At 35.9% G+C, this 22,716-nt stretch overlaps 1 protein-coding gene across 5 annotated transcripts in view; it reads left to right on the top strand.

Moving 5' to 3' along the window:
* COMMD10 (COMM domain containing 10) overlaps positions 1-22,716 on the top strand; it is a 208,263-nt gene that overhangs the window by 78,653 nt on the left and 106,894 nt on the right. For 2 of the 5 annotated variants that reach the window (NR_146218.2, NR_146219.2), the window contains exon 6: positions 22,202-22,475. The exons of 2 other annotated variants lie outside the window; for them this stretch is intronic. The gene's annotated coding sequence lies outside the window, so the exon portion shown is untranslated. Of the gene's footprint in view, positions 1-16,724; positions 16,757-22,201; positions 22,476-22,716 lie in introns of all 5 variants that reach the window. One more of the 5 variants, NR_146220.2, reaches the window with a different exon arrangement.

The raw sequence follows: 22,716 nt of genomic DNA on the forward strand, positions 1-22,716 counted from the left end.
GGTTAATTTTATGGTATGGCATTATTGAATTAGTCAGAGATTATTCTTTTATTATAAAGCACTAAGTTATGTCTTCTTAAACCACTTTTTGTTTAGAATACTTTCTATGCTTTTGAGTAAAGATGAAATTATATGTCTTTTTTAATTTTTTAAATTGAATGATGTTCAAGGGAAAAGCTACCCAGTTTCCATTTGTGTGAAATTTATGTATATTTTTGGTTTTGTCTTGTATATGAGTAAATAAACGTAGTTTCTACCCTTTTTCTACCCTTTCCCATTGAAGTTACAGGTTTATCTACAAAGGGGTGATGGAAATACTTTGTGTAACTATTTTCCTTAGTCAATATAACACTCTGAGGCCAGGCCTGGTGGCTCACGTCTGTAATCCCAGCATTTTGGGAAGCTAAGGAGGGCGGATCACCTGACGTCAGGAGTTCTGGACTAGCTCTGCAAACATGGTAAAACCCTGCCTCTACTAAGAATACAAAAGAAAATTAGCTGGGTATGGTGGCGCACGCCTATAATCCCAGCTACCCAGGAGGCTGAGGCAGGAGAACTGCTTGAACCCAGGAGGAGGAGTTTGCAGTGAGCCGAGATTGGGCCACTGCACTCCAGCCTGGGCAACACAGTGAAACTCGGTCTCAAAAAAAATAAAAATAAAATAAAAAACCACTCTGGATTAATTTCTATTTTGTATTTCTGGTTAATTTTTCCCCTACCTCCAAATAAGTGGGGGTAATTGACAGTTGTTCACACAAAGGTTAGGTAATTCTATAATTAATTTTTCATTGGTTTAGAGAAGTCTTCTCAGTGAGCATGCCTTTGTTGTCAAATGTTCATGCCATTACTGCTAATGAAATAAAAATGTTAAGCAAGAACAGTAACTGTCTATTTTAGTAACTGTCTATTTTCAGTTACTTTTTAAAACCCTAATTATAAAAGCCAACTTGTAGTTTACAAATGACCACATGTATCTTTATTTCAAGGAAATTCTGGATTACTTCATGTATTTACTCATAATAATATCTGAAATAGTAAAAAGAGTGTGGATCTGGGTATCACCACTTAACTAAGAGTTAGTTGCAAAATTTTGGGGGAAAAATTTATAATGTTCTTAGGGGGGTTGTGTTGCACAGCTCAAATATGATATTTTATGTACTGCCACTTAATAAGCTATAATGTGCCCTTGGCAAGGAGGATGAAGAGGAGGTATAGCCTGAGCCCTGGAATTTGTCTGAAGTCCTTGCAGACTAAAGTACCCATGAAGACTTGGATTTACACAGAATGAATCATGGCCAAGACATGAAAAGTCAGTGATAAAGTCAGTATTGATCTCAGTCTGTAGCTTACAGCTTTTCTAATTTTTTAAACTTATTTAAGTAAAGTGTATATCCCTCTCAAGTTTCTGACATATCCTTATGCTGTTGAGGCCTGAAGAGAATCTCTGAGACTAAGATGAGAATTGTCATTGAGCAATGAAAAGGAATTAAAATGAGAAAAGTCTGAATTATCTGGTTCCATTGATGAGGGAGTGCCTATGGTGAAAAGCATACCTCAGGCTATTTAAAATATCCCCTTAATCGAGTTCTCCTGGCTTTCATGCTTTGCTTGAAACACAGCTCTGATAATGCATATTTTTGGTAATTGTATTTAAGGAGTATTTTTGGTAATTGTAATTTCTTATTACAAATTAATAGCCACTCACATACATCTTATGTACTTGGTGTATTAGTCTGCTAGGGCTGCCAAAACAAAATATCACAGGGTGGGTAGTTTGAAAAACAGACATTTATTTCTCACAGTTCTGGAAGAAAGTTTAAAATCAAGGTCTTGGCAAATTTGGTTTCTGGTGAGGGCTGTCTTTCTAGCTTGTAGATGCCTGTCTGCCTTGTCTTCACATGATCTTTCCTAAGGGTGTGTGTGTGTGTGGGTGTATCTGTGTGTGTGTTTGTGCGCACACACACGCGTGTGCACAGGGCTGGTAGAGAGTGAGCTCTCTGGTGTCTCTTATTGTTTCTTTTTCTTTTTTCTTACCTTGTTATTTTCTAATCTAGTCTTCAGAGAGATGGTGTCTCTTCTTATAAAGGCACTCATCCTAACAGATCAGTGCTGTACCCTTGTGACCTAATTTAACCTTAAATACTTCCTTAGAGGCCCCATCTCCAAATGCAACTACACTGCTGTTTAGGGCTATAACATGAATTTTGGGGTATACAAGAATTCAGTTAATAATACTTGATTACCCTTTATCTGCCCCTGAGAGGGTGGTTCATCTTACCCTTTTTTAGTCAAATCACATTTGGTAACATGAATTGAGGTGGGTCAGCTATGGTGGCAGACTCACTAAGAGTGTCATCCTCAACTATCCTGTATTGCTTGTGGCATACCTAGACATTCTATGGCCGAAAGAGCTTGCATGTTTAAATATTTCTATAGTTTTAGTCCTTGGCACATGGACTTGAGTCCATTTCTCTGTCAAATGGCGATAGTTGTTCCTCAGAGTTGTTACTGGTCATAATTTAAGGGAAAATATATTTTGAACCATAAGATGCAAAGATTGTTTTTTATAAAAATGTACAATGTTCCTTTTTCTATTATTTGTAGAGCTTAAGGACTTGAATCCAGATCTTCTAATTACAAGTATAAGACTCTAAGTAGCCAGACATACCCATTTTTTTCAGGATAATTGGAATTCTCCATAGACAAGCACTCTAGGGGAAGTTCTGGCAAGTTTTATTTGCACCATGTAATGCATTGAAATAAATTGTACCATCTAATAAATTGAAATGCTGTGCGTTTAGCCCTCAAGCTCTGTTAAGGGACAGACTGCCTCCTCAAGTGGGTCCCCGGCCCCCGTGCCTCCTGATGGGGTGACACCTCCCAGCAGGGGTTGACAGGCATCTCATACAGGAGAGCTCCAGCTGACATCTGGCGGGTGCTCCTCTGAGACGAAACTTCCAGAGGAAGGAACAGGCAGCAATCTTTGCTGTTTTGCAGCCTCCTCTGGTGATACCCAGGCAAACAGGGTCTGGAGTGGACCTCCAGCAAACTCCAGCAGACTTGCAGCAGAGGGGCCTGACTGTTAGAAAGAAAACTAACAAACAGAGAAAGGAATAGAATCAACATCAACAAAACGGACATCCACACAAAAACCCCATCCGAAGGTCACCAACATCAAAGACCAAAGGTAGATAAATCCATGAAGATGAGGAAAAAAACCAATGCAGAAAGGCTGAAAATTCCCTAAACCAGAATGCCCATTCTCCTCCAAAGGATCACAGTTCCTCACCAGCAAGGGAACATAACTGGTTGGAGAATGAGTTTGACGAATTGACAGAAGTGGGCTTCAGAAAATGGGTTATAACAAACTTCTCCGAGCTAAAGGAGCATGTTCTAATCCAATGCAGGGAAGCTAAGAACCTTGAAAAAAGGTTGCAGGAATTGCTAATTAAAATAACCAGTTTAGAGAAGAACATAAATGAGCTGATGGAGCTGAAAAACACAGCACAAGAACTTCATGCAGCCTACACAAGTGTCAATAGCTGAATCAAGCAGAAGTAAGGATATCAGATTGAATATCAACTTAATGAAGTAAAGCATGAAGGCAAGAATAGAGAAAAAAGAATGAAAAGGAATGAACAAAGCCTCCAGGAAATATGGGACTATGTGAAAAGACCAAACCTGTGTTTGATTGGTGTACCTGAAAGTGATGGGGAGAATGGAACCAAGTTGGAAAACACTCTTCAGGATGTTATCCAGAAGGACTTCCCCAACCTAGCAAGACAGGACAACATTCAAATTCAGGAAATACAGAGAACACCACAAAGATACTCCTCGAGAAGAGCAACCCCAAGACACATAATCATCAGATTCACCAAGGTGGACATGACGGAAAAAATGTTAAGGGCAGCCAGAGAGACAGGTCAGGGAAGCCCATCAGACTAACAGCGGATCTCTCGGCAGAAACCCTACAAGCCAGAAGAGAGTGGGGGCCAATATTCAACACTCTTAAAGAAAAGAATTTTCAACCCAGAATTTCCTATCCAACCTAGCTAAATTCCATAAGTGAAGGAGAAATAAAATCCTTTACAGACAACCAGATACTAAGGGATTTTGTTACCACCAGGGCTGCCTTACAAGAGCTCCTGAAGGAAACACTAAATATGGAAAGGAAAAACTGGTACCAGCCACTGCAAAAACATACAAAATTGTAAAGACCATCGACACTATGAAGAAACTGCATCAACTAACAGGCAAAATAACCAGCTACTGTCATAATAACAGGATCAAATTCACATGAAACAATAATTAAACTTAAATGTAAATGGACTAAATGCCCCAATTAAAAGACACACACTGGTAAATTGGATAGAGTCAAGACCCATTGGTGTGCTGTATTCAGGAGACCCATCTCGTGTGCAAAGACACACATAGGCTCAAAACAAATGGATGGAGGAATATTTACAAAGAAAATGGAAAGCAAAAAAAAAAAAAAAAGGGATTGCAGTCCTAGTGTCAGATAAAACAGACTTTAAAGCAACAAAGATCAAAAAAGACAAAGAAGGGCATTACATAATGATAAAGGGATCAGTGCAACAAGAAGAGCTAACTTTCTTAAATATATATGCACGCAATACAGGAGCACCCAGATTCATAAAGCAAGTTCTTAGAGACCTATGAAGAGACTTAGACTCACACACAATAATAGTGGGAGACTTTAACACCACACTTTCGATATTAGATCAATGGGACAAAAAATTAATAAGGATACTTAGGACTTGAACTCAGCGCTGGACCAAGCAGACCTAATAGACATCTACAGAACTCTCCACCCCAATCAACAGAGTATATATTCTTCTCAGCACTGCATCCCGCACTTATTCTAAAATTGACCACATAATTGGAAGTAAAACAGTCCTCAGCAAATGCAAAAGAATGGAAATCATAACAGACTCTCAGACCACAGTGCAATCAAATTAGAACTCAAGATTAAGAAACTCACTCAAAACCACACAAATACATGGAAACTGAACAACCTGCTGCTGAATGACTACTGGGTAAATAACGAAATGAAGGCAGAAATAAAAAGTTCTTTGAAACCAATGAGAACAAAGACACAATGTACCAGAATCTCTGGGACACAGCTAAAGCAGTGTGTAGAGGGAAATTTATAGCACTAACTGCCCACAGGAGAAAGCGGGAAAGATCTAAAATTGACACCTTACCATCACAGTTAAAAGAACCAGAGAAGCAGGAGCAAACAAATTCAAAAGCTAGCAGAAGACAAGAAATAACTAAGATCAGAGTAGAACGAAAGGAGATAGAGACATGAAAAACCAATTCAAAAAATAAATTCATTCAAAAAAAAATCAATGAATCCAGGAGCTGTTTTTCTGAAAAGAATTAACAAAATAGACCTCTAGCCACACTAATAAAGAAGAAAAGAGAGAAGAATTAAATAGACACAATAAAAAATGATAAAGGGGATATCACCACTGATCCCACAGAAATACAAACTACCATCAGAGAATACTATAAACACCTCTATACAAATAAACTAGAAAATCTGGAAGAAATGGATACATTCCTGTACACATACACCTCCCAAGACTAAACCAGGAATAAGATGAATCTCTGAATAGACCAATAACAAGTTCTGAAATTGAGTCAATAATTAATGGGCTACCAACCAAAAAAAAGCCCAGGACCACACAGATTCATAGCTGAATTCTACCAGAGATACAAAGAGGAGTTTCCTTCGGAAACTATTCTGAACAATAGAAAAAGAGGGACTCCTCCCTAATTCATTTAAGAGGCCAGCATTATCCTGATACCAAAACCTGGCAGAGACACAACAAAAAAAGAAAATGTCAGGCCAACATCCCTGATGAACATTGATGTGAAAATCCCAATAAAATACTGGCAAACTGAATCCAGCAGCATATCAAATAGCTTATCCACCATGATCAAGTCAGCTTCATCCCTGGGATGCAAGGCTGGTTCAACATATGCAAATGAATAAACGTGATCCATTGCGTAAACAGAACCAATGACAAAAACCACATTATTATCTCAATAGATGTAGAAAAGGCCTTCGATAAAATTCAGCACCTCTTCATGCTAAAAACACTCAATAAACTAGGTACTGATGGGACGTATCTCAAAATAATAAGAGCTATTTATGACATACCCACAGCCAATATCATACTGAATGGGCAAAAGCTGGAAGTATTTTCTTTGAAAACCGGCAGAAGACAGCGATGCCCTCTCTCACCACCCCTATTCATCATAGTATGGGAAGCCCTGGCCAGGGCAATCAGGGAAGAGAAAAAAATAAAGGGTATTCAAATAGGAAGAGAGGAAGTAAAATTGTCTCTTTTTGCAGATGACATGATTGTATATTTAGAAACCACATTGTCTCAGCCCAAAATCTCCTTAAGCTGATAAGCAACTTCAGCAAAGTCTCAGGATACAAAATCAGTGTGCACAAATCACAAGCATTCCTATACACCAATAATAGACAAACTGAGAGCCAAATCATGAGCAAACTCCCATTCACAATTGCTACAGAGAGAACAAAATATCTAGAAATACAACTTACAAGGGATGTGAAAGACCTCTTCAAGGGGAACTGCAAACAACTTCTCAAGGAAATGAGAGGACAGAAACAAATGAAAAACATTCTATGCTCATGCATAGGAAGAATCAATATCGTGAAAATGAAAATACTGCCCAAAGTAATTTGTAGATTCAGTGCCATCCCCATCAAGCTACCATTGAACTTCTTCACAGAATTAGAGGAAACTACTTTAAATTTCATGTGGAACCAAAAAAGAACCCGTATAGCCAAGACAATCCTAAGCAAAAAGAACAAAGCTGGAGGCATCACACTACCTAACTTAAAACTATACTACAAGGCTACAGTAACCAAAACAGCATGGTACTGGTACCAAAACAGATATATATACCAGTGGAACAGAACAGAGGCCTCAGAAATAATGCCACACATCTACAACCATCTGATCTTTGACAAACCTGACAAAAACAAGGAATGGGGAAAGGGTATTCTATTTAATAAATTATGTTAGGAAAACTGGCTAGCCATGTGCAGAAAACTGAAACTGGACCCCTTCCTTACACCTTATATAAAAATTAACTCAAGATGGATTAAAGACTTAAACATAAGACCTAAAACCATAAAAACCCTAGGAAAAAATCTTGGCAATGCCATTCAAGACATAGGCATGGGCCAAGATTTCATGGCTAAAACACCAAAAGCAATGGCAACAAAGGCCAAAATTGACAAATGGGATCTAATTAAACTAAAGAGCTTCTGCACAGCAAAAGAAACTATCATCAGAGTGAAAAGACTAGCTACAGAATGAGAAAAATTTTGCAATCTGTCCATCTGAGAAAGGTCTAATATCCAGAATCTACAAATAACTTAAATAAATTTACATGAAGAAAACTGCATCAAAAAATGGGCAAAGGATAGGAACAGACACTTCTTAAAAGAAGACATTTATGCAGCCAGCAGACATACGAAAAAAAGCTCATCATCAGTGGTCATTAGAGAAATGCAAATCAACATCACAATGAGATACCATCTCACGCCAGTTGGAATGGCGATCATTAAAAAGTCAGGAAACACCAGATGCTGGAGAGGGTGTGGAGAAATAGAAATGCTTTTACACTGTTGGTGGGAGTGTAAATTAGTTCAACCATTGTGGAAGACAGTGTGGCGATTCCTCAGGGATCTAGAACCAGAAATACCATTTGATACAGCAATCCCCTTACTGGGTATATACCCAGATGATTATAAATCATTCTACTATAAAGACACATGCACGTGTATGTTTATTGCAGCACAATTTACAATAGCAAAGACTTGGAACCAACCCAAATGCCCATCAATGATATACTGGATAAAGAAAATGTGGCACATATACACCATGGAATACTATTCAGCCATAAAAAAGGGTGAGTTTATGTCCTTTGCAGCATCATGGATGAAGCTGGAAACCATCATTCTGAGCAAAGTAACACAGGAACAGAAAACCAAAGACTGCATGCTCTCACTCATAAGGGGGAGTTGAACAGTGAGAACACATGGACACAGGGAGGGGAACATCACACACTGGGGCCTGTCACGGGTGTGGGGCTAGGGGAGGGATAACATTAGGAGAAATACCTAATGTAGATGACGGGTTGATGGTGCAACAAACCACCATGGCACGTGTATACCTATGTAACAAATCTGCATGTTCTGCACATGTATCCTAGAACTTAAATTATAATAAAAAAATCTGTCCGTTGTTTTGTGAATTATCATATTTAAACTCAGTTTCTGGTGGTTGATGTCCAAAATAAGATTTTGCTTAGTGGTATGTCCAGAGCTTACAGAAGAATAACCAAAGGCTGGAAAAATATATCTTTCAGCCCAGCAACTTTATTATAGTACATATGGTAAACTGTGTAGAATGTTAAGGAAACATCCCATATTGGCTTACCAGCTGCTATTTTTATGGCAAGATTTTATTTAATATGTAAGGCTGGAGGGAGGTGTGAGAGGAAAGTAAAGAAAAGCTTTGGATTATTAAAGGTGTGGGAAAGCTATTTACACTGCTTCAGGGATAAATAGGAGGGAAGGAGTACTCAGACAGAGGGAGCGAGTGATTATATGAAGAAAAATACTATGATGATACTAATTGTGTTTTGTAGGAATATGGATGCTGCCTCTTTGTCTCTAAATGTGCTACCCTGAATTACAAGTTACCTTTGGCTTTTTGATTCTACAAAATCATAGGAGCTCCCTGAAATCTGGAGCATTTGCTCAGACTATTGCTTTCTGTTATCTACCCTAGGTCGGAAATATTTAAGTGTTTTTTCTTCAGTCCTACAGAGTTTTAGTCTGATACTTTAGAAAACAGAACTGAGTTCCTATTCGAAAAGATTTACTCACAGTGTTTTGTGTTATAAAGTCATACTCCAGGGTATCTTTTAGAGCAACAGCCCTGAACCAGGCTAAGAGGCATGGAGAAGAGCAGCACAGGGCTTCTGAATCCTGGCTGTGCATAGATGTGGGTTAAAATTAAAATATTACTAACCTTTCCTCATCTGAGATAGTAAGATTTTGGAGCTTGAATTCTTCATGCTTTTTAATTACAAAAAATACGATGAAATTTCAGTGTTCTTGCAAAAATTTGACTAATACAAGAATTGACAATATGAGAGGATGTCTTTAATAATTTTATGTAACACAATCAGATCTTTAACTTTTGCTCATGTAAAGTTTATAAAATTTAAACTGCTTAAAATAATGGCAGTATTAGAATACTGAGATTCATAATAATGTAAATTAACACATATAACCCTTTTTTCTGTTTGTATATTATCTTTTAATATATAATGAAAATGTTTAGGTAGTAAATACTAAGGTTAAGGTAAAGTCATATAATCTTAATTCATCTAACAGCTGCCTGTTGTTTCATATTTATTCCATTTTTGAAGTAGTTTACAAATGAAAAAAATTGTATGAATGCCTTGGCATTAAACAGCAGTTCTTGGAAATCAGGAAATTCCTAAGTTATACTTCCTCTAGCAGTGATATATCAGCGTTATTTCTATGAGTTTAGTTATATTCAATTTTCCAGTTATATATACACCTTTAAAGTGTTATATAAGCCAATTTAAGCAAGTTAGTATTAGAGTAGAAGTGTAAACTTTGGAATTTCCTGATTTTTAACATTTTACTTTCTATGTTATTTTGGTGAACTGGATCATGCAACTTAATTTATACAGTTAGTATGAATATACTTACAAAGAGCTAGATTTTATTTTCAGCCATCACATTATGAATAGCTTTTTTTAAAAAAGACTATTTCATCCTCTATAATGAAGTACTTAGTGTTTGCCATTCACTTTTGGTAGCTTTTAATTTTTACCTCTTCAGCTATGATCTGAAGTCATTCCAAAAGTTATGGTCTGTTCTATGTCTTCAGTAGAGAGTTATAGTTTCATAAATTATCCACCTGCTCTAGATGCGTTGTAGAGATACAAATAGAATTGCACATACTAACTGCAGAAGCCAAAGCATTGGGTATCACCTTCCTTGTTAATCCATTTTTTTTCCAACTGTTTTTGGGTTTTTGTTTTGTTTTGTTTTGTTTTTGTTTTTTTTTTTTTGGAACAAGGACAGTCATAATATAGTAATATGAATTCATTCCTTAATTCTTTATTCAACAAACATCTATTGAAAATATGCCATGTGCCATATACTTCCAGGTATTGAAGATACAGCAGTAACCAAAGCAAAGTCCTTCTCTCTTAGAGCATTCATTCTAATAAGTGGAAAAAGAACATAGATTGAATAAGTGTATACTCTATCAGGTTGTGATTAACACTATGAAGAAAAATTAAGTAGGATATGGAGATGGAGAGCAATAACGGTACTATTTTAGGGAAGGCTTTTCTTCCTGATAATACCTAACTGGATACCTGAAAAAGATGTGCATGTCTTAAGGAAAAACAATCCAGTAAGTAAGAACACCAATTGCAAAGGCCCTGAGATGGAAGTGTGCTTGCTAAATTCCCAGAAGGAGGCCAGTGTGGCAGGAGTAGAGTATGTGGGAAGAGAGGTTCAGATGATAAGGTGAGAGTAATAATGGGTATGGGAGGACATGGAATTCTGTATTGCCTTATAGGACTTGGTAAAGACTTTGAATTTTCCTCAAAATGGAGGATGTTGAGCAGAAACATACATGTTCTGAATTATAGTCTACAAGGATCACTATAGCTACTGCACAGAAAACAGATTGCAAGGGAGCAATGATATAACTGATGGATAATCAATTAGTAGAATAACCATTCAGTCACGAGATGGTAGTGGTTTAGACCAGAATGATGATGGTGGAGGTAGTGAAAGGGGAATTCCAAAATACTTTGAAGGGAATATGGTAGGATTTGTTGGTTAGATACAAAGTGTGAGATAAAGTGAGTCATTAAAGATAACCCCAAAATTTACCTGGATAACTTGTGTCTCTCTTACTTGCCTATAGTTGTCTTTACAGAAATCCTTTCCTAACCATGTTGGATCTTCTCTAGGTAGTAGCCACTCTTACTCAATTTTTAATCAAAGCTAACAGTTGTCCTTGAAGTCTATTAATGTGTCCTATTTTAACTTCTCTATAAAGAAATGGTCAGTTTCTAAATGTTTACCAAAGTTTGAAACTCCTTTAAGCAATTTAAAACATAAGATTAACTTTTCGTTTTTTTAAATAATTGTACCTTATGGCAGATATAATATAGCTTGCTGACTAAGAGATGTGGAGAACCAGTTTGCTGGGGAACAGAGCTCTTTGTGATCTTTCATAACTATTTCCTTTACTTCCTGAATGTCTTTCTAAATGCCACATTCAGAGTGGACTTTTCTCACCACCACATTTAAAACACTCCCGCATTACTTTCTATCTCCTTACCTTGTTTTATTTGTCTCAGTTGTATTTAATATATGATATATATATTTGTTTTTTATTTTTGTGTCTGTATCACCTCACTAAAATACAAATTTCTTAAGGGCAGTGGCTTTAAAAAAAAATTGCTGCAGCTCAGTGGGCTAGGTAGTTAGTAACTTACTATAAATGAATTGAATGAATAGATGGTTTTAAGTAGATGTCCTTATGTCACATAATGGGTGTTTATTAAATGGCAGCATGAAAAGAATAATGGGTATCCTTGTACATTACCGGTGGCAATGAATGTAAAATTGTATAGCCACTCTGGAAAACAATATGGCAGTTCATAAAAAATTATACATAGAATTACCATATGACCTAGCATTGCTACTTCTGAGTGTATATTCAAAAGAATAGCAAGGACTCAGATATTTATCCACCCATGTTTGTAGCAGCAGAATTCACAATAGCCAAAAGGTGGAGGCAACCCAAGTATTTATTTGGCAGATGCATGGATAAGCAAAATATGGTATATATATGCAACGGGATATTATTCGGTCATAAAAAGGAATGAAATTCTGCCATACGTTGCAACATGGATGAAACTTGAAGACATTCAGCTAAGTAAAATAAGCCAGTCACAAAAGGACAAATGTGGTATGATTTTATTTTATGAGGTACATAGAGCGGTCAAATTCATAGAGACAGAAAGTAGAATGGTAGTTGCTAGAGGCCAGGGGGAATGAGGAGTAGGGAGTTATTGTTTAATGGGTACAGAGCTTCAGTTAAAGAAGATGAAAAAGTCTGGAGATGGATGGTGGTGATGGTTGCACAACAATATGAATGTACTTGTTGCCACAGAACTGTACTCAAAATGGTTAATTTGGCAAATTTTATGTTATGTATATTTTACCACAATTTAGAAAAAAAAATGTTCTGAGCTTGAATGTCACATTCACCTTGTTGGCTTTTTGGACTTATTCACTGTTTGTTTATTTGTTGAGATAGATTGTCTTTGTCTCCCAGGCTGGAGTGCAGTGGCACGATCTTGGTTCTCTGCAACCTCCACCTACAAGATTCAAGCAATTCTCATGCCTCAGCCTCCTGAGTAGCTGAGATTACAGGCATGTGCCACCACGCCTAGCTGATTGTTTTTCTATTTTTAGTAGAGACAGCGTTTGCCAGGCTGACTAGGCTGGACTGGAATTCCTGGCATCAAGTGATCCACTCTCGTCGGCCTCCCAAAGTGTTGGGATTACAGGTGTGAGCCACCGTGCTCAGCCTGGACTTATTCACTGTTCTGCTTTAGGCTTTTACAAATAGAATCTAAAACATTTAACCTAACATCTGAGATGTGGGTTTACCACTGTTATTCCAAGTCCTTTAATTTTGTATGTCTTCATTTTAAAGTCCCTAAGTTCATGTTATTAATGGTTATTTTCCTATATGTTTTACTTTCTCATGTATATAAAATTCATATTTTAAAGTCTTAAATTCTGTTTTCTGATGTTGAGGGTCCTATAAGGTTGTACTCTTAATGGGTGGCTTACTTTCATTTTCTCATTTAATTATTATTTTTAAAAAATTTCCTAGTTATTGATTCTCATGTTATTTCTTATGATTGTTGTCAGTATCTCCCTAAATCTAATAAGGAGACAGAAACCACAAAGTAATTTTAAACAGGGGAAGTTTAATATAAAGAATTAGAAAGCTATGATACGTGAGTAACTATAAAAGTGTAAAGAGAACTGTAACAAACATACTAGGCCTGAAGGAGGAGAGTATTTAAGGAAAAGAACAACTTGGAAGAGGGTCCTTCCCCAAAGTTAGAGTTCAGACCTTGTTAGAGAAGGTACAATCTGCTAAGGCCAGAGTTGGTCTGTAGTTGCTGGGCAAGCAGGAAACAATCTTTTGGGGGTGCAGTCAAGCTGAGGCTCCTGGATGGGCTTGCAAAGGTAGTCACAGTGCCACTGATAGGTAGCATGTTCTAGATCACGTACTATTGTGTTGGAAGAGCCTCAGAGTGGTGATTAAGACAGGGATCCAGTGGACAAAGTGTCTTAATGGAGATGGGAAACTTGGGAGGGGTTGATTGTATTGGGTGGACCAGAAATAAGCTGGGACATTTGGAATGGGTTTTGAGAAAGGAAAGAAAGAGACAGCTTTCTCTCTCATCTTCATATGTTTAAAATACATGTAAATGTAAATGCTCTTTGCATTAATATCTTTTCATCTTCATTGCTTCAACTGAAGCTTTTATTATCTCCATCCTAAGGGACTGCATTATTCTCCTAATTTATCTTCCTGCCTTCAGAATCTTCCTCTTCCAACCTAGTGTCATTTTTCTAAAACAAAGTTCTGATATGATACTTTCCTGCTTAAAATGTCTAAGTGACCCCCCCCACCCCACTGCAGAATAATGTGACTTTGTAGGATCAGATCTCTGCCTACTCTGTTAGTTTCTTTTCATCCCACTTTCCCATAGTCATCCTAGGAACTTTCTGTATTCAATTTTTCAAAGATTTTCAAGCATCATTTTCTTCTCCTTTGCATATTTTGTCCCTTCTCTTCTCCCTTACCTTTGCGTCTGGAAAAATCTATCAATCCTTTAAAACTTATATGCTACCTTGTTTGCCCAAACCTTTCTCAGTACTAAGTGGCCATTTCACTTTGAACATGCTTTCATTTGTATATGTATCTCTCATCCCACTTCATACTGAGTTTTGTTTCCTTATTCATATTTTTCCTTTTGGAATTTACACAGCACATAGTGGGTGCTTAATAAACGTTTATTATCTGAACAAATAAACCTGCATACTTGGCTTTAATATTCTTTTACTCAGATAATATGAGCATGTACCTTAACTTAAAAAGATAGGGTTCAGAATGGTACACACTATACTTGAGAGTTATTTGGGCTCTTTTGTGTTTTCTGCCTGTAAAAGAAATAAATACTTCATTTTCCTAATGTTTAGGTATTTAGCTGTATGATAGATAAAGCAAGTTAGAGATAAGGAAAGTAAGGTGAAAATGAGCCAACTGCTTAAATGAATGATGGAGTTGAGATAGAAACCACTTCATTTTGGATTGTCTTCTTTTATTCTCATTAGTATTATAAGATTGCTTAGATAAGTATTTATTTATTGAGCCTCTACTATGTAACAAACATTGTGTTAGACCTGTGATTCTAGGTTCTTTCCCACTTCTTAAGATTCTGCGATTAATTAGTAAGATTAAAGCCTTAAACAAAACTTACTTTATAAAATTGTTCTAAAGTATATGATTACATTACATATTTGGAGTTATTATAAAGTTACTATCAAATTAACGGATAATAAAGTACAATAAAATCCCTGAAGGCACCAAAAATGTATCTTGGGTATGCAAATGTAAATGTGTAAATATTTATAATTTTAAAAATGTGTGCATAACTATAATAACGGGGATGATGCCCCCTATTTGAGTTCCTGTCCCTAAAAACATTCACTATTCTAATTCCTAAGAAGCACTTAATATTATAGCATCAGGAGATATATCATCTCAGGCCAAGTTTACTTTCTAGCCTAGATGGGCCTTTTGCAGTTAGTTGACTCTGCTTTTCTTAGCAGCATTAAGGAAAGTTGGTTTATAATAAGGTTTTAGCACAAAAGTTAATGCCCTGATTTATTCTCAGAAGTGGTTAGCTGTAGTTGATGCAGATGGCCACTAGAATGTATTCATATAAACATCTTCCATTCCAAAATGTTAAGAAAATATAACATTGTATACCTTAATTATTCAATTACATTAGATACATGTTATTTAATAATATACCTGAACCAGAGGCTTAGGGATTTCAGACGCTCTGTGTTAAAGGAATACAAAATAAGCTTGTTTTAAAATGTAATACATCATGCTTCTGTCCCCATGTTTACCTATGTAATTTTATGATTCCATAGGTAAAATAGCTGAAAGAGAACCATTATGTTATCAAACACTGTGTCATGCTTGCTGAGTTTGCAAAAATGTAAAACGTACAATGTGTAACTTTTATCTTCAGGAAGTTTATAACCTAATAAATAAGATTCAATACACATAAAACCTTTAATGTACGATTAAGTGATAAAGTATTAAGACTATAAGTGTTGTGGGAGTTAAATAATTTTAAAACAGATTTTAGGAATAATCTAATATCTCATTTTATTGACGAGGAAACAAAAGTCTGGACTAGCTGTTTAACTCAAAAATCTGCCCAGAGTTACACTACTGGATAATGTCAGAACCAGACTAAGAACGCAGGTTTCCTGACTTTGGCCTGGTACTCTTTCCATTCGTAAATACCCACGAGCCTGTGTGGAATGGGCTTGATTCAAAGCATGTAGAAGAAATGAGACATTGAAGGTTATGGGTAGGTGGTGGGGAGAAGAGCTGTTCCACAATGGAAGGAACAAGAAGGAAGCTTAAAAGACCTGGCACAGAGCATAAGGAATGGCCTAATGAGAGTAGAAGGTATACAATAGGAATTAATTTCAGTTAGTAACCTGGGCCTGGATTGAAGCAGTCCTTGCAAACCAGGTAGTTTTTATGGGATAGGCACCAGAATGCTTTTATAGATTTCTTGAGCAGGATGACTTGATAAAAATTATATCAGTTTTATCAACTGGAAGGTCAGTGTGATGGTAACCATGAAAGATTGAAGTAATATTGAGGCAGGAAAAGGTAGTAGTAGTAGGAATGAAGTAGAAAACTCAAATCTACAAGACATTTCTTGGGGGAAAATGATTGGACGAGATGGCAGTTTTCTATAGAAAATAAAGGTAAGAAGAGTGTAGCAAGCAGAATGCTATTTCCATGGACAGAAATAAAATAACTTGGAAGGAGGGCTGGGATGAATTGAGGTTTTTTGTTGTTACTCTTGATATTAAAAAGATTATTACTCAGTATTAAAGCTTACTGTAAAATATAGGATTTTAGGTTTTTGAGAGCTTTCCATATCTTTGGACAGTCAATACTGAAATTTTTGAATTTAGGGTTAATTGATTATATCTGTTGTATACACTTAGAGACGCTTGGGTTACCTCTGTACATTTTCAGTTATATGTATAAAACATTTTTGAATGGAATAATACGTACATTCAGGTTTATAGAAACCTTGATGGATATGATTTAATACAAATTAGCAATAGTATATCTAAATTTGTAATTGTCACTGATCCATTGCTTAGGATATATTTTAAAATATGTTCACTAAATTCTGTTTTCAGTTAAGTTATTCATTTATCTTTTGTTTAGGTCCTAGGCCACTGAAATGGAGTACAAGAGAAGTGGGTATTTTTTCTAATTTGATTTTTTTCCTGTATTAGTGTTGGGATAATGGATTTGTATTTCATACATAATTTTAAGTGCCTCATATTTTTAATAATAGTTGCCTAGACAATACAATTTATTGTGAAATTTTCTATTAGCAGTTCATTCTAAATGTTTAAGAAATTATACGTTTTTCTCTTTTTGTGACCTTCAATCTTAAAAGTTTATTTGAAAAACGAATTTAGTGAAACCAAAATTAAAAAAAAATAAACTCCCTAACTAAAAAAATATATTCTTAAAACTATTTTTATAAAATCAATTTTTTTGACTTGGGATCATTTAGGGGGATCGCATATATTGTAGTATATCAGCTATTGACGACATTTTAATTCTTATCATTTTAATGAGTTTTTTGTTGTAATTTTTAGGAGAAAATGATGAAATGCTTATTTAAAAAGTCTTTATTAGGCTCATGTCTCTCATCCCAGCACTTTGGGAGGCTGAGGCGGGCAGATTGCCTGAGCTTAGTAGTTCGAGACCAGCCTGGACAACATGGTGAAACCCTGTTTCTACAAAAATTACCTGGGCATGATGACACACACCTGTAGTTCCAGCTACTTGGTGGGCTAAGGTGGGAGGATCACTTGAGCCTGGGAGGTTGAAGCTGCAGTGAGCTGAGATTGTGCCACTGTACTTCAGCCTGGGCGACAGAGTGAGACCCTGTCTCCAAAAATTATAAAATAAAAAAGTCTTTATTATTATTGCTGTACTTTCATTTTAATTAGAAATCTGTTTCTGTAGTGTACTTCTCTGTTGGATTACATTGAGATCTCTGGAAGTAGTATGTGAATGTATGGTCAGTTGATAATATGTGAATTCTAAATGCTGAAATTTATGCTTTTGGGGTGTTTGTTTATCAGTGTTCTTATTATTGACCAAGATTATGCTTTATATCTTCTATCTTCTGAAGTTGTGTGAAATAGTGATACAATACAAATTAAAGCTGAGCTGGTGTTTTACATCTAGTATGAAAGAAATTAGCAGAAATCAGAGCAGTTTAAACCTATCTACATTATTGCTACTGAGTTTTGAGTCATAGATTTTTTTAAAAAGTATGAAACATGGTTAATCATAAAAATCCACATAAAGAAGGAAATAATAATAGGAAGTCTGTTTTGTCGAATTCTAGAAATATTTTTAGAGAACTATTATTTTGAAATGTGCAGGATGCTTCTGGTCCAAGGACCATACTTTGAGAATCATTGTTATAAATCATGGTGGAACCGTTTGACCTAATCAAAATTAAAATGAGAAGGAAGGTTTTTTAATTTAAGAAAGTTATCTTTAACTTCTGGCAACATGATCTTGCTTATCACAGTAGTAGGATATTATAAAATTGGCCAACATCTCAGCATTTCTTTAAACTTGCTACTATATTCATTTATTCAGTAAATATTTACTAAACATCTAATATGTGCCAGGCATATTTCGAGCTGGAGATAAAGAGTAGGATAGACATAGCTCCTGCCCCCATGGAGTTTATATTCTCTTAGGGGACATATATATGAACAAAAACAGGTAAACAGACAAATTATGTAGTTGCCAGTTGAAATATGTCATGTGAAGGACAAGAACAAGGAGATGATTGATACTATTAGCAAACTATTTTAGGTGTAGTGATCTCTGAGGAGATGACATTGAAATTGAGACCCACAGAAGAGAAACAACTAGGTCTGTTAAGAGGAGGGAGGCGCATTATTCAAGCAGACAATTGAATGTATACAGGCTTTGAGGCAACAACAACAACAAAAAGTTTCTTTACTCTAAGAACTGATAGTAGTTTAGCTCTAGGCTACTATTTAATATTAAGATTATGGATGGAAGGCAGGGAGGGAGGTGAAAGAGAAAGAGGAGAGAAATTAAGAACAATAGGTTTCCGATTTATGTAAATTAATTAATGGTAGTATTGTTTACTGAAATGGGGAAGAGGTGTGGGGGGTGGGTGTCAGTGAGCTCAGCTGTTTTGAGAGAGTTTGAGCAAAAAAAAAGTCAGTTGAGGTGATTAAAAATTGATACATTAAAGTGAGAAATCAAAGAAGAAACTTTGTTGCTGAGACATTTAGACTATTTCTCAGATATTAATAAAATTTAGAGAACAAAACAGTATTCTAGAGAAACACTAAGGTTATTAATTAAGAGGAAAGCAATCTATTTGGGGAGGTTTAAGGGAATGTTGACATATACAAATACTAAAAAATTAGAAAGCCAAGTAAAAAGGGATTAAAATTCTATCTCCAAGTGGAAAAAATCAGGTTGTCCAGAAAATAATAAATACATGATTGATATGGTTTGGCTGTGTCTCCTCACCCAAAATCTCATCTTTAATTGTAATCCCCATAATCCTCAAGGGCAGGACCAAGTAGATGTAATTGGATCATGGGGGCAGTTTCCCCCATGCTGTCCTTATGATAGTGAGTCTCAAGAGATCTGATGGTTTTTTAAGCATGTGGCATTTCCCCTGCTTGCACTCACTCCATCCTGCCACCCTGTGAAGAAGGTGCCTGCTTCTCCTTTGCCTTCTGCCATGATTGTAAGTTTCCTGAGGCCTCTCCAGCAATGCAGAAATGTGAGTCAGTGAAACCGCTTTTCTTTGCAAATTACCCAGTCTTCGGTATTTCTTCATAGCAATGTGAGAACAGACTAATATAATGATCATAAAGAGATTGTTGGTGAGAGAGGCCATTGACTCACCAGAGAACCTAGAAATAAATTACCATGGGCATATAATATCTAACATTATATTGAGTTAGTCAAAATATGAAATGTTAATATTTATAGGGGAGACTAAGGATGATGCCAGAACTGAAAGAAAAATGTTTCTAGAAGACCTAAAACCTAAAGAACTTAGCAGACTCCTTGAGAAAAATGTAAATGCCTGAAGTAGTTTTGAAAATCTGGGTTTAGCTAGCTCATGCCCTAGAATTTCAGTGACTACATAGACTCATTAAAATGAAATTCAATCTTGTTTTTATTTTAAACATATTTTTCAGGTATCCAAGGGACTGTTAGGAGGACTTAAATAACCCATATCCTTATGAAAGTGAATTATAGGCCTCCTTGAAATTAATAAAAATCTTCAAAGTAGTATTTAATTTAAACTTGTAACTTTCTTTGTGTTCTGAGAGAGTGCTGTTTCTTTATATTTTAAAGAAATAGACCATTTCTGTTTTGTTCACCAATATATTCACTGCACTTAGCACACTGACACAGAGTAACCATTTAATAAATACTTTCTGAATGAATGTATAAATATAAATTTTACATTTAGTTTTGGGTTACCTGGATAGCTGATAATTAATGAAGCAGTTCCTTTGTGGCCCTTAGGAAATGTCTCTACTGTGACCATATTCAGGTATATATGGTGGCAGGCTATACGTGAATAGAATTAGTGCTTATTAGAAATGAGGTAGGATGTTTTTGAGATTATATGTTTCCATGCACTGCAGAGCATACTGGTGTTATTTTAAACAAAATATAAATAACTTTTGGATTTTGTGTGGATTTTAATTATTTTAATCAGTCATCCGTTAAGGGTTAATAATCCAGTTAACTATGTTGTTCTCAAATTCCAAATACTAAATTACTGAGGTCATGATGCTTTGGGGAACAAATACTATTAATGACTAGTGAAAGAAGTTTTATAGATCTCACATTGTTTCTGGAAGACCAATAGATGTATTTATTACCATAATAACACGTAGAAAAAGGACAGACATTTCTATGTGGTTCTTAGTTCTGTCTCTCTTTTTTTTTTTAATCCAGGATGTCAATCCTTTTGTGTTCACTCCCTAATTATGTATTTACATTTTCTTTATTTTTCTTAACTATATATCTGACCTTTTTTTTTTTTTCTCAAGGTCTTGATTAAAATCAGCTTTACTCTACAATAAGTTGAATTGATTTGGGCTTCTTTTTCTCATGATCCTATTATTTAGTGACTGTTTTCTTCAAATATTTGTTTCCATGACTTTTGTTACTTCTTTATAGACATATTTTTAGTAGTTGCAATTTCACCTCCACCCCGCCTTTCTGGGTTGATAATATTGGTTAACACTGACTCCTAGGGTACAGTCTCATCAATGTTGGTGTAGAAATAAGATATAATGAACACCAAACCTAAAAAAGCAGCGTCAACTTTTACTCCAGCAGCAGTGGAGTTGTTATTTACCAAAAGAAAACAGATTCAGCAGAGATCTGTTAGAATGCCTATGTTATGCCCTATTAATCTAAAACAGTTCCATGATAATTCTCTAGGGTTGAACTGTTTTTAATGGTATGTATGAGAAAACGTTTTATGGGCTTTTAGCCAGAAGATTTTATATATAAATGGTAGTAGAGGAACATTGTTAAATTCATGAATCTTGGAGGCAATGTAATATAATCGATTTTGGGGCTTTTAAATCAGCTTTGAATCCTGACCCCTTCACTTATTAACTTTGTGACTTTAGGCAAGTTACTTGACTCCTCTGGGCCTTAACTTCCTATTTTGCAAAATGAGAATAATATGACTTCCTGACAAGAATTTTGAAAGAATAGAAGGCAGTTATACAAAATGTGTGATAAAAGTTTTGGCACATACAGGTTTCTTCCCAAAGATGAACAAGTCCTACTGCTAAGTATAGAAAGGGAGATATAAGTACAAGTTCCTCGTTATTTCTTAGAGCTTTGCGCCCATAGATCTTTATATTGTCTTAACCTATGTGATCCACAATGACCCAAACTACAATGTATGTCTTAAGAAAGCATAGAATTTTTACTTTTTTTTCAGTTTGAACAAAAATGGTCAGTTGTGCTCTGAGTCCTAGGTGTCTTCTAGATATAAATATGTGGGAAGGACAAAGGCAAGGGGCATTTAACAGAACCTCAGGTCCTACTTCTAGCAGAGCAGCTATACTTTTCTGTTTTACCATTTGTATTTCTGTGCAAGATATTGATTGAACAAAGGGGTCTGTGTATTACAAAAAAGCTTGAAAAAACAAAAGCAGGGTCAAGCAGTCTATTTCTTGGCTTTCCTTTTTCTCCGATGCCACCCTGCTTTCTCCTTGGCGTTTTAAAGTTTGTGGGAATGGGTGGGAGTTAGGGTGGGGAAGTAGGGAGGAATTCCATTCTGTCTTATTGCATGGAGTTCTCTGAGAACAAAACATAGCAAAAGGACAAGGGTCCTATGTAAAGAGGGCATTTCTGGTGGAAAAATTCCTTGACCTCCTTAGCTCTTGCGTTGAACTCTATCAACAAAGAGCTATGTTTTGAGCCTTGATTACAAATTTTAAAACTGGTAAATAACAAATACATCTTGCCTCTGATTGCTTCCTCCTCTGACTACATTGAGATATCTTTATTAGACCCTTAATATTTTCATTATCTTCTTATCTTAGACTCTAATCACTTTACTCTCATTTCAGTGTCTGCAAGTTCTTTTCCCATTAGTCTTCTCTGTACCAACCAGCAAGAACTCTGACCCTGGATGAATGTTACCTGACTTTACTGCCATCAAGCATTTTTGGAGAAAATAACACATTGGGCTAATGGTTACCTATGATTTCCTGAGGTCTGGGTTCGACCCCTTTTAATCATCTGAGGAATTTTTCTTTCCTCCATCTTCATTATCTTTCTCCCTGTAGACTTTTTACTGTCAACGTTTAAACATGTTCAAATAAATCCAAGCATCGAATGAAGGTAACAAATTAATCAACTTATTGGTTCAGCTGCAACTCTGTTTCTCACCCCGCAGTCAAACTTTTTAAACAAATTGTTTATTTTCATTGTCTTTAGCCCATTCCAATACAGCTTCTGCTCCCATAACCCCAAACTGCTTTTGTAAATTTGTTTCATTTCCGCACTTAACAGCTTTCCCATTACCTTCTGATAGTCTCATATCCCTAACATTATATTTGCACAATTCTACCTCTCCTTTCTA

This window comes from Homo sapiens, chromosome 5, assembly GCF_000001405.40.
Source record: "Homo sapiens chromosome 5, GRCh38.p14 Primary Assembly".
Lineage (NCBI taxonomy): Eukaryota > Metazoa > Chordata > Mammalia > Primates > Hominidae > Homo > Homo sapiens.